We start from the raw sequence: 13,548 nt of genomic DNA, 5'->3' as shown, positions 1-13,548 counted from the left end.
AAACTTTCTTTCTCTGATCTCTGCTGTATGCATGTGTTGCTATATGTGCCAATATGGTAACCTGCTGCCTGACCCATAACAAGGTACATCCTTTACAGTTACCTTACTTTCACCCTATGCGAGCCTCGCAGCAGCTCAGTTAGAGAAAAGAAATACTACCTAGGGAATTGTAGAACATTTTCACTTGAATGTGCCAGTAAGTATCCCTAAAGTTTCATTATTCAACAATGATCAGTGGTCAACGCATCCTTAAGTGGATATGTTTAATTCTTTAGGAAAATTTTAGAACTGAAAAATCATTTCCTACATCTAAAATGCTAATACAGGCCAGGTGTGGTGGCGCATGCCCGTAATCCCAGCACTTAGGGAGGCCAAGGTGAGTGGATCCCTTGAGGCCTGGAGTTTGAGACCAGCCTGGCCAACATGGCGAAACCCTGTCTTTACTAAAAATACTACAATTAGCTGAGCATGGTGGTGCATGCCTGTAATCTCAGCTAGGTGGGAGGCTGAGGCAGGAGAATTGCTTGACCCAGGGAGGTGGAGGTTGCAGTGAGCCAAAATTGCCCCACTGTACTCTGGCCTGGGCAACACAGCAAGACTCTCAGGATAAATAAATACATGAATAATAAAATGTTAATACAATTAATTTTTGATTGGAACAATAAAATTGTCTTTGTGAATATCTCAAATATGTAGATAAAAGTTATACATTAATTTTGAATTTAAAAAATCTTAATTTCATAATTTAATCAGTGTGATATACTTGTTAGGCTTGAAGAATCGCACTCTTCTCTATACTTTCCATTCAGATAAATTCAGAGCTTGAGTGAAAGAAATTAAAAATGTCATCATCTTCTGATATGTTTGTGAGAACCATCTGGACATGAGAGAAAAAATAATCCAGAAAGGAAGGGACCAATTGCATCAAAAATTTATGACATGAAGCTGATTACTTCTAATTGCATCTAAAGTAATTTTGAAATTTCCCTCCCTCTTGGATTTAAAGAGAAACTTCTCCAATAGCAGCTCAACTCTCCAAGCCTTTGTTGGCCAGCAAGAGTAGGCTTCCAAATGAGAAATAAAAAGGCTCTTATCTTTCCAAATGCAAATTAATGTGTTATCTCCTCTCTGAAGCCCGTCCTGGCTTCATGAGCACTGATTTTTGGAATCTTCTATGTACATATGAGTGCTATGATTTGGATATGGTTTGTTTGTCCCCACATACTCTCATGTTGAAATTAGACCCCCATTGTGGGGGTGTTGGGAGGAGGGGCCTATTGGGAGGTATTTGAGTCATGAGAGCAGATGTCTCATTAACAGATTGATGCCTTCCCTCAGAGGAGAGTGCGCTCTCATTCTTTAGTTCCCAAGAGAACTGTGTGTTGAAAAAAGCCTGGCACCTCACCACTGGTTCCCTCTTTCCTTGTGTGATCTCTGCACATAATGCTCCCCTTCACCTTCCTCCAGGAGTGGAAGCACCCTGAGACCTTCACCAAATGCAGATGCCCAATCATGAACCTCCCAACTATCAGAATCATGAGCCAAAGAAACCTTTTTTTTCTTTATAAATTACCCAGCCTCAGGTATTCCTTTACAGCAACACAAAACAGATATGAGCATAGCTCATATCTATCACAGAACTTGTCATATTGAATTGAAGTAGAAAATATCCAACTCAACCCCTCTCTTATGAGTTTTTCTGAGAACATTCATCACTATATTCTTACCACTTTACAGTGGACTCGGAACATTGAAAATGCTTAATAAACATTGGCAGAATGATAAAAGAATGTATTAAATTGTCATTTACTTCTGAGTGTACATAAAATAGAACAAAAAGTGCCATTCTATAGCCTCACATATGGCATGTATATTTCTAAAAACATATTCCCCAAACCAGGTGTAATGCTCTCATCTTTTTTATTCCTTTCACTTTATCCTTAATTTCTCATTTGATAAAACTTGCATGAGGGATTTTATATAGTTGAGGAAGATATTTTCCCTCAGTTTACCAGCCTAGAATGCGTTTCCCTATAATCCCAAATATGAGCTTCACTGCCCAGTATGGTCAGAATCTGCCCATTGTGTTCCCTTCCACACTAGATTCTGTTGGCTTCCCAGTGCTCTTATAGCAAGTTATTGACAAGAAGGAACTTTTGGTCTCATTTGCCACTGAACCTCAGTGTCTTGCATGATGCCAGATACCTAGTAAACAGACTGTGTGTATATGCATGTGTGTGAATGTGTGTGTGTGTGTGTGTGTGTGTGTTTGTAAGGTGGATTTTAAGCTGCCTTTAGTAGAAATATTTTCCTGATATTCATAAAGCCACCAGAATCGCTGTGAGCATTAAAAAAATAAACATATTTTTAGAGATTTACTCTGAGATAAACTCTGGAAACACTGTCTTTGGCTTTTTTCTATAAAACAAGGAATGCTTGGCCCTTCTGTCAATTTTTTAGTTTTCTCAAGTAATACGTAGGTACATAGGTAACGAAATAAAAGAGTAGTTGGATGTTAACGTGCACTGACACAGAGTTGGGATACAGTGAAAAGAATGGGTTTTAGGGCGCTCTCTTCTACCTTATTGATACGGACAGGAAATGGGAAAATACTGGGTTGAAGAGGGTGGTTCCCTGGCAAAGGCCCCACCTTTAAGCCTAGATGCCCGCATCCCTGAATAAGAATAGGCATTTCTGTTTTCATGCCCAAAAAGTTGCCTTTTGGCTTTCCATTCCCCTATCCTGCCCCCATATAAACCCTGAACCACAAGCTCCAGGGCAGACCAGCAGATCAGCAATGGCAGAACGACGCGGCAGAGAAAGAGAAGAGGAGGGATGTCTGGATGCTGAGGGGAGTTCAGCAGGGGGTGACTGGAGGAGGCTGGCCACTGGGCAGCCCCACTCCAGGGGAATATCACCTTCCCACTCCATCCCCACTTTCAGCTCCTCATCATCTCGCTGAGAGCCACCTCCACCACTCAACAAAACCTTGCACTCATCCTTCCAGCCTGCATGTGATCCAATTCTTCTGAGCCACTGGGCAAGAGCTTGGGATACAGAAGGCTGTCACACTGGCCCCCTGCCCTTGCGATAAAGCAGAGGGTCCACTGAGCTGATTAACACTCAAGCCATCTGCAGATGGCAAAACTGAAAGAGCTTTGTAACGTGGAGGGTTGCAGGTATCCACCTCCAGACACCACTGTGGAGCCAAAGCACCTGCCCCCGCCTCTGCACTGCCCTTCTGCATGCTTCCCCTCCTTCAGGGGTTTCAGCTGGGGGACGACCAAAAACAGGTGAGCCACACCCCTGTCATATGTCAGGGAACTCTCTCGTTTCATTATCATCCAAAGCCTGCTAGCACTGAGTGACTCAGGAAACTCACAGCTGATTTCTGCAAAGTGGGGATAACAATACAGAGGTTGTACATTCTGGTGAAAGTTACATTAAGAAAAATCCACATAGTATATGATAGTCTTGCTTTTCTATGAATTTGAGTGTAATCAAATTATAATTAGGTCAAGTATATGTCATACTCATCATGGAACATCCTTGGATTATGCTTATTTTACAGAGAAAGTTATTAAAATTTCCCATTATGCCTGAAAAGTTTTGGGAGCTAAGCCAGGCACCGTGGTTTACACCTATAATCCCAGCACTTTGGGAAGCCAAGGAAGGAGGATCACTTGTGGCCAGGAGTTTGTGACCAGCCTGGGCCACATACTGAGACCCCACCAGTACAAAAACTTTAAAAAATTAGCCAGGCATGATGGTGTGCACTTGTAGTCCCAGTGACTTGGGAGGCTGAGGAAGGAGGATCACTTGAGCCCAGGAGGTCAAGGCTGCAGTGAGCCATGACTGTACCAGTGCACTGCAACCTAAGCAATAGAGCAAGAACCTATCTCTAAAAATAAGTAGAGTACATAAAGCCAGAGTTTAAATGTCTTATTTTGAAGCAGTTTGAATTCCTGAACCACTGGGACAATAAAGGAGAGAGTTTAGTGGGGAGGCGAAGCATGTAGAACCTGGTGTCAGCCTCCCTAGTCTGGTACACAAACACTGACATTTTGGTTTACGCATAAAAATTGTGATTTGGCCCTTAAGCCATCTTTTATGTTTGTAAATGATGATCAGACAAAAGTGATTTGGAAAGAAATAGCATGCTCAGGAACCCAGAAGTGCTGCCTGATGCTGTGAAACTTAGGTTGGAGGAAGAATCCTTTCAGTAGCCCCAGAGATGGGCAGACCACAGAAGGACACGGCAAATTCCCTCATTGCCTCGGCAGAGTCCACAGAACAGCTGAGCCATCTTTATCCTGTTTTGAGAAGGTTTTATTGAAATATTTACCCAAGAAGCTTGCACGGCGGGGCCTGTGGTACCAAGGTTACTGTTCACATTTGTACTGATAGATCATCTCTGGCTAAAATAATATTTATGGATATGTTCTTAATTTTTAAAATAAATTTGGTGAAATAATCCATAATCCACTTAAACTATATAATTTTATCTGGGATACAAAATATTGCATAATTCTCTCTCTGCTCTGTCTGCATGGGAGAAGCTTCCAGACTGTCCCATCCCTCACAAGATAGTGAAACTCTCAGGCAGGAAGCAGGTGCCTGGTGAGGCAGTTCGGGGACACATCTGAAGGGTCAACAGCAGGAATGGCCTAAACTGTAGGTGGTAAGGAGTGTTTTTCCCATGTTTTTTCTTCAGGAACTGTCAAAAGGGAGCATTCCCCTAACAAAAGGTGGCCTCCTATTTCTGCCTGTCTTTTAAGTTTACTACTTGAATAATTACAATGATCCTTGATTCTAAAATGTGTTCTTGTGCACGATCTGGTATTATTGTGTTTTTAAATAATGTATCTGTGCCTGTTCTCTTTTATTCCCATTAGTGGATCTAAATTGAACTCTCTGCACAAGACTCACTGTGCTGGGAGACTCTGAGTACCTATCAAGAAGTTCTGACACAAGTACACTGACCTGTCAACAAAGCTGTGCAGATAAAGTAACAATACCTGTAACTTACTATATTATACTGGACTTACCCCAAATTCCCTGTGTTTACTCAATACCAGGCATCTCAACTTTACCTATATCAAGCCTCAAATAATCCTGGGAAGTAGTAATATTGTTTTTCCCACTTCACAGATAAGAAAACTGAATCACAGAGAATATGTTTTATTTATTTATTTATTTACTTATTTATTTATTTAGAGATGGAGTCTCACTCTGTCACCTAGGCTGGAGTGCAGTGGTATGATCTCGGCTTATTGCATCCTTGAAAGTTCCACCTTCTAGGTTCAAGTGACTCTTGTGCCTCAGCTTCCCAAGTAGCTGAGATTACAGGCATGCATCACCACACCTGGCTAATATTTTGTATTTTTAGTGGAGACTGGGTTTTGCCACGTTGGCCAGGCTGGTCTTGAACTCCCAAGGTCATGTGATCTGCCCACCTCAGCCTCCTAAGTTCTGGGATTACAAGCGTGAGCCACCACGTTCGGTCAAGAATATGTATAATTTGTCTGCTAGTAGCAGTGGAGCATTGAATCCAACCAGCCAGACCAAATAAGAATTATTAGGAAAAACAGAAGACAAAAAGACAACACTTTTTAAAGAGTCTGCAAGGAAATAAAAATATTCTTATTTATCTTTAAAAAATATTTATCTTTTAAAAAGATTTTTATCTTTTTAAAATTAAATATTTTAAAGACATCATTATATAGTGAGATCTTCTTTAAATAATCAGACTAGTACAAAGAAAGTTTGATAAAGTTCTAAGTGCTATATAAATTCTGGAGTCTATTGGCTATAAAAACACTCCAGTAATTTTCAAGGTGTTTTAGTTGCTAGCACTCTCATTATAAGGGTTAAGGGACAGACCAAAATCAATTAGGTAATTTTAGGTTTTGCATAGCTACAATATCTTGCATTTATATGGCATTTTACAACTTCCAATTGACATTCACATATATTATGGTCCAATGACTGCCAGGAAGGACAGTTATCATCATCCCCATTTTACAGCTGGTAAATAAATCATCATGGGAGCAAACAAAAAGAGTGTGTGCACGTCTCCGTGTGTGTATGACATTGAATAGTTATACATAAACAAGCCTGGTCTTAAAACTTACAAAGGAGAGCAGCTAAAAGCTACATATCCAAAGCAATGTACTAACTGCCAGAGATCTGACACTGTCTAGGTAGAGTCGAACACGCCTTGCTTATCTTGGGTTCCATATTCGCTGCTAACATATCCTGCGTTTAAAAAATGTTCCTTTTAAATTATTTTCTGTAGGCTTTCGTAAAGCAGATTATTTTTATTTTATGCCATTAAGAATTTTAGTGCCTACATATTTTAAACACTGAAGTATACAGATAGCTAAACTTTCAGAAAACTATTTTGGGAAAGAATTAAGAAAAAAGTAAATCACTTCATTTTTCTTGAATCATATATTTTCCACAAGTAAAATCTATAATTTTCAGTGTGTACATTTTCACATGAAAGTGTATTTTTCTTTTCTGCAAAAAAAATAAAAAAATAAAAAAGTCAACAGCCTATTGTATTGTGTCACAAAATTGCAAAATCGACAACAATTTCATGTTATTGACACAATTATGGCCCGTTACGCTGATTAAGTAGGAAAGGAAAAATAATATTTCCTTTAAACCCATGAAGAGTCGTTAAGAAAAGCAATGAGGGAAAAATCAAGAAATGCTTGCAGAATGTAACAAATAATAGAAAATTGCTAATTTGTCAAAGTATTAAAATTAGCGATAGGAATTCTGAGTCCTGAGAATATACAGTAGACAGGAATTCTCTGGCATGCCCCTCCCCACTTTTAAACCGAAGTCTCCTGTTAATTAAATAAGGCAGATGATACTGGTACAATTTCTCTCACGGGATTCTTGAAATATGCTTTTCCTTGGCTTCAATATGAGCATAAAGGAGAGAGGAAAGAGCTATCATATATATACATAGTATCTATTTCACAGTCATAGTTTTCTATATGTTGCTTTCAATTCTTTCATTGGCCTTTTGGGGCAACTATTAGACTATCTTAAAAAAATTAAATATTGAAGGTTCTGATTAAATGACTTGCAAAAAATCAGAGTTAGTAGAAAGCTGAGTAGGACTTTGAACTCAGGTCTCTCAGCTTTGAACACTCACATTTGCCTCTTGTATGTCTTACCCCAACTCACACAGGGAAGGTATTTTAAATAAACAAATTTGTGTCAATTCTTGGATACAAAAGCAAACCCAAGTCATAATGACCTCCTTAAAAAACACCATTTCCTGCTTCAGATAGAGCCACTAATCACAGAAGAAAACATTAAAATAAGGTAATCTTTGGCTAATAACTAAATTCCAATCACAGAAGAAAACATTAAAATAAAGTAATCTTTGGCTAATAACTAAATTCCAATCACAGAAGAAAACATTAAAATAAAGTAATCTTTGGCTAATAACTAAATGATGTGTTGGTTGAATGTGCTTTTTTGTTTTTTTGCATGATACTTAAATATCCATATCCAAAGCAATGTACTAACTGCCAACTAATTTTAATACAAAGAGGTCGAATTAGAAGAGGTAAACCACTGCTTAAGTGTCATGGAATTACAAAATAACATTCATTGTGTTGTTGGTTTGCTTGCTTTCCGAGTTTCTAAGACTATCATGACAAGCTATGTCCACAGAGAGGAAGAATAATTATAACTTTCTTCATTTCCTCTTGTCAAAAGCAATCGGTAGACCACCTGTTATCAATATGGCTATTGCAAATTACTTAAATTATGTCTGGGCTATGGCAATCATTCCCATGAACACTTCTTTGATGAACTTGCAAATTCTTCTAAGGTTCTTCACCTTGTTATTAACACCACTCTGCAGGGAATCTGCAGTGACTCTGCAGCCTGGCCTGGATTTATAGATATTTTAGCCTTCATTCCCTCCTGTCGATGGAATTCAGGGATGTGTGCCAAAACTCCATTTTCATTCTGACTTGCTTCAACCACAGGGAATCATTAGCTGCTGCTCTCAGAGCACTTACTGGAGAACCATTTGATATAGAGGACCCTCACTGAATGGAAGAGCTAATGGACCTCCAAAGTGACAGGGCAAAGCACTAACTGGGATGGTCCTGTTATATCGTAGAATTGTCGTTACGCAATGACCAATCAATTCTCTTAAAAATGGAAGCTTTTATTTCAAAACCTACTCAGAGACAGCCAGTCATAATAGGGAGAAAAAACTACTCTTAGGGTTCCCTTTGCCCTTCCCAATGGCTGCCCCCACTCCCCAACTCCTATCAGCATGTCAGATTGTTATACAAGCCATCAGTCCTGTTACCAAAGTATCACCCTGGGCAATGGTAGCTATTGGGCTGTCTTATTCTTTTTCCAGCAATTCCATATTTCAAGTGCTTCAAGTATCTTCAAGCGAATTGCTTGGCTGATTTCCAAAATGGTCAATACAGGTCAAATTCAGCTTAAATGCTATCCTTTCCAAAGTTTTGAAAATCCATTTTTGCAGGAAGGCCGGTGAAACATTTAATGAGCTTCAGTTCAGAAGAGACACATCCTTTTTACTTGAATTTGGTCTTAAAACACATTTGGTCCATTCAAATGTGTAGCAATCTTTTCAATTACAGTGGCTACCTCTTTTCAATCTAGTGCAGTATATTATACATAGCACCATTGCCAACATTTTTAAAATTTCTAGAAATGGCATAAAAATGAAAAGATCATAGAATATTCTGATTTTATTCAGAATATTTTGATTCAAAGTGTTTCTGCTGACTTATTTTCCTTCTTCATCCAGCTTCATTTCTATGGGGTGTATCTACCTTTTATTAAATCCAATGTTTTTAATGTTTTCAAAACATGATTTCAACATGAAAAAGAATTATTATAAAAAGTATCAATGAATTATTAATAAAAGAAGGAGCAGACACATTCAAATAGACTTAGTAGTGCTTAATCTGGAAGCACTTAATTGAAAGTTCTCTTATCAGCTCAATAATAGTGAATTATAATGACCTTGATTTTAAAGAGACAAGGACACTATCTATATTTCTTAATGGAAAGACTAGAGGCAGGAGTCAACTCTCTTAACCGGGTGTTACATAAATGAAATATATGTGTAATATAGAGATGTTAGAAAATTTGCCAAGTTGAAAGAAGGAAATAGTTGTAAACTATCAACCTTTTTAGTTTTTTTTTCAGAATTAGGATTCTACTATATGTTCAAGTTTGCAATTTCATATTACATTTTTATACCTAACATGACATAGTGACCATTGGATATCCTCAAAACACTGTGAAAATTCATTCAATGTACAAATATATTCTAATTTATATAGACATTTAAATTCATAATTCATACTTGTTAAAAATTTTTGCTATTACAGATAAAAATGTGGTGAGCATCCCTACAAATAAATATTCACAAGCATGTCTATGGGCCAGGTGTGGTGGCTCACGCCTGTAATCCCAGCACTTTGGGAGGCTGAGGTGGGTGGATCACGAGGTCAGGAGATTGAGACCATCCTGGCTAACACAGTGAAACCCCGTCTCTACTAAAAAACTACAAAAAATCAGCCAGGTGTGGTGGCAGGTGCCTGTAGTCCCAGCTACCAGGGAGGCTGAGGCAGGAGAATGGCGTGAACCTGGGAAGCGGAGTTTGCAGTGAGCCTAGATCACGCCACCGCACTCCAGCCTGGGTGACAGAGCGAGACTCCGTCTCAAAAAACAAACAAACAAACAAACAAACAAAAAACAGTATAAGGCTTTTAAAACATACTAAAATATTACCTACAAAAAATATTTAACAAAGTGCACTCCCTCAAGTAGTATTTGTGGACACGTGTTTTCACAGCCCCCTTACCAAACTGGGTATAGTAGTCACTTTTAAAAATCTTTAAATAAAGGATAGGAAAAAAACACCTAATTTGCATTTCTCTGTGAGGCTGAGTATATTTGTTTGCTGGTTATCTGTATTTCTTTTTAGATAGATTATGTTCCTCCCCTTTGTCAATTTCCCTATTGAGCTTTTATTTTAATGTTACCCTTTGATCTACATGACTTCTTCAGGGTTTTAATTCTTTGCCATATTTGTTATTCGGTTTCCTCACAGTTTGTCTTTTAATTTTGTTTCTGATTTATGATATTCAGATAAAAAAATGCTGTGTCAAAGTTGTTAATTTTTGCCTTCCATTGCTTTTATTTGCTCACAAGGTCCTTACAATTGCTGAACATAAATAAACATGTAATTTTACTTATTATTTTCCTTAGGCTTTATTTGTTTATTACATTAACTTTTGAAATCATTAGTATACTTTTGGTATAGAAAGAGGGGTCAACATACACTTCTGATTCTATTTACCTGATAGTCAATCATTTATTGAACAATCAGTCTCTCATTTTCCTCTGGTTTATGAATCAAGCCTTGTTCTATACTAAGTCCCACAATATACCACAATCTGTTTTCACTAATTAGCCTGTGGATAATCTGTGGCTTTATATTTTCAGGCTGGGCATAGTAACTCACACCTGTAATCCCAACATTTTAGGAAGCTGAGGCAGGAGGATCACTTAAGTCCAGGAGTTGGAGACCAGCCTGGGCAACCTAGTGAGGCCCCATTTCTACGAAAAAAAAAAAAAAAAAAAAACCCAGAAATTATCTGGGCATGGTGGTGAGCACCTGTAGTCCCAGCTACTCAGAAGGCTGTGTAGGGAGAATGGCCTGAGCTCAGGAGATTGAGGCTGCAGTGAGCCAAGATCATACCACTGTGCTCCAACCTGAGTGACAGAGCAAGGGTCCCTCTCAGAAAAATAAAATACACACACACACACACACACACACACACACACACACACACACACATATATATATACACATTATATTTTGAATTTAGGAAAATCTATTTTCTCTATTTCTTGTTCTTTAAAAATCCTTCTGTCAAGTTTTTTTTTTTTAATTAAATTGCTTTATAATTTCTAAGTACTGGTACCACAAGTGTTTCTTGAAGAACTGGAATAAGAAAATTATGAAGAAACAAACATGTCCCCCACTTTCAACTCCTCCCTTTTCTGGGATTATTATTGTCCTTTTTTTTTTTTTTTTTTTTTTTTTTTTTTGCATGTACTTTCAGGATTTCTATCACGAATAGTTTGGTAATTGTGTTCTTATCGTTCCTTGAGAAGAAAACAGAAATGTGTCAGAGCATGGTCTATTTTCACAACACAGAAAAATATTTGATGCAGTTTATTATAGGATTACAATTTTTTTTAATCTAGGAAATATAATTTTAATTTCTTTCAGATTTAGATGTCTAATCTTTTGAGACACAAAAAAATAAACTATTGAATAAGCCAGGGTCATGCATAAGCCTTTATATTGCTGCTCAGATCTATTAAATGGCATCTTATTTAACTTGAAACAAAATCCAGTAACTACTATGTCATAAACATACTCCTGGTAGCATGTCAGTCACTGAAGTATTTTGCTTTTTAAAATTTCCTAACGATGAAGTATTTTTCTTACTCCAAACACATTACAAAGCACTGTGACATTTAATTTTTAAATTCATTTCTGTATGTATTTATTCAATAGTATCTTAGTGATAGGAGGTGCTCAGTAAACATTTGTTGAATAGGAGTATGACTGAAACATACTACTTAAATAGAGTGCTGTACAAAATGGCACTTTATTAATAACTACATTGGAATTTTTAGAAGTGGCTGATGCAGGAACAAATGTAAGCCTTTTATTCACAGCAAAGCTTGAGAGATGAATAGCAGGCACATGTGATGTGTGATTTATTCATACACACCAGTAGGAGATTTATAGGCATCTATTAACCTACTCGAGTTCCAATTTTGTCTTAGGCTAGTCTTTTGTCATGATTAGCTATGTTGTGAGTCTATGTTAAATAACAGGCTGTCTGTACTGAAATATGCAAGAAATATGAAGACAGAAGGCCAAAATTATTAAATATGTACATCATTTCACTTAAACTATAGGTATATATCTGCTTATGTGTGTTACAAAAATTAGAGATGTACATGCATCTCACAAAAGCAAAGGATTTTTCTTTTATGGACATGAGACTCATTGTTATGGACTGAATTTATCTACAAAAATATAAAATCCCTACATGAAGTAAACTCCAGTTCCTCAGAATGTGATCATATTTGGAGAAAGGTCTTCACAGAAGTAATGAAGTTAAAATAAGGTAATGAGGATGTGATCTAATCTAATATGGCTGATGTCCTTAGAGGAAATTTGGAACACACACACCTACAGAGGAAACATGATGAGAAGATACATCTCCTTGACCATCTATAAGTCAAGGAGGGAGGCCTCAAAAGGAATCAACTCTGAACACAAACACCTACAGAGGAAACATAATAAGGTACATCTCCTTGACCATCTATAAGTCAAGGAGGGAGGCCTCAAAAGGAATCAACTCTGCTGACACCTTGATCTTGGAATTCTGACCTCCGGGACTGTGAGAAAGTAAATTTCCATAGTGAAGCCACCCAGTCTGTAGCACTTTGTAACAGCAGTCCTAGCAAATTCATACACTCATGAAGTAATGAAGAATACAGCATAGCCATATGCAGAAAAAGAAGAATTACTTTGTTCTCCTGATAGTCTCAGTTTTTGGAAAAGATGAATCATCTCAGCCTGCATACTGTGGTGGGACCTGATCTGATTCCTCCTCTTGGTAAAACACCATCAAAGAAAGCCACTACTTTAGCTAATGCTTCTGATTCATCCCTTCTTCAATTGATTACGAATTCAAACATAATTGATTGCATTGGCCACTTCCAAATGATTATCCCATTAGATTGGCCACTGTAACATGGTTGAGGATCTAAAAGAGCTTGCATGCACATCACGCTTTGAAGGAGTAGCTCATTCCTGGATTTTCCCTTAAGGTCTTAATGTCACTTGTGTGCTTTGTATCCATACATGCACAGTCACAATAAATATGAGAGAGGAGGAGTGTGGAGAGAAACAATCCCCACTCCCCTTCTTCCCCAACCCAGGTTTGCAGAGCATAGGAATAGGGTGCAAATTTTGTAACTAGGGTGAATGCAGCGGCACTGCCAAAGTCATATATGAACACCACATGTCAGGGGTGAGGAAAGGTCACAGTTCTATTTGTCCTGACACAGGACATATGGTAACTTTTACAGAGCCCTCCTACTATATCACGTATCTGTTCTTCCAAACCTGTGCCATTGCTCAGTGTGGCAATACATCTTCCCTGTGGACTAAACCTGGCTCTTGGATCCAGGCAGCTTCTGCTGGCATGGCATGTTCTAAGTTCATAACTATACAATGCATTTCTCTACACCATCTTAGTGAAACAACATGGGAATAGAGTTTTATAATAGTAATAGAAAAAAGTCATAATTTTCCATGCCTCACTATTCAGAATAATTAATTTAATAACTGTGTCATACGAGAAGAGTAAATAAAGAGAAGAAAAGGGGTGTGGATATATATGATCACTGATGCATACACAATTGCAAAGA

General features: G+C 37.9%; 1 protein-coding gene across 25 annotated transcripts in view; it reads right to left on the bottom strand.

Moving 5' to 3' along the window:
• Positions 1-13,548, bottom strand: part of NRG3 (neuregulin 3) — a 1,111,986-nt gene that overhangs the window by 613,961 nt on the left and 484,477 nt on the right. The window lies entirely within an intron of this gene.

The sequence above is a fragment of the Homo sapiens genome, chromosome 10 (genome assembly GCF_000001405.40).
Source record: "Homo sapiens chromosome 10, GRCh38.p14 Primary Assembly".
In the NCBI taxonomy this organism is placed as follows: Eukaryota; Metazoa; Chordata; class Mammalia; order Primates; family Hominidae; genus Homo; species Homo sapiens.
Note: the sequence above shows the minus strand (reverse complement) of the source record. Positions and strands in the feature narration are given on the sequence as shown.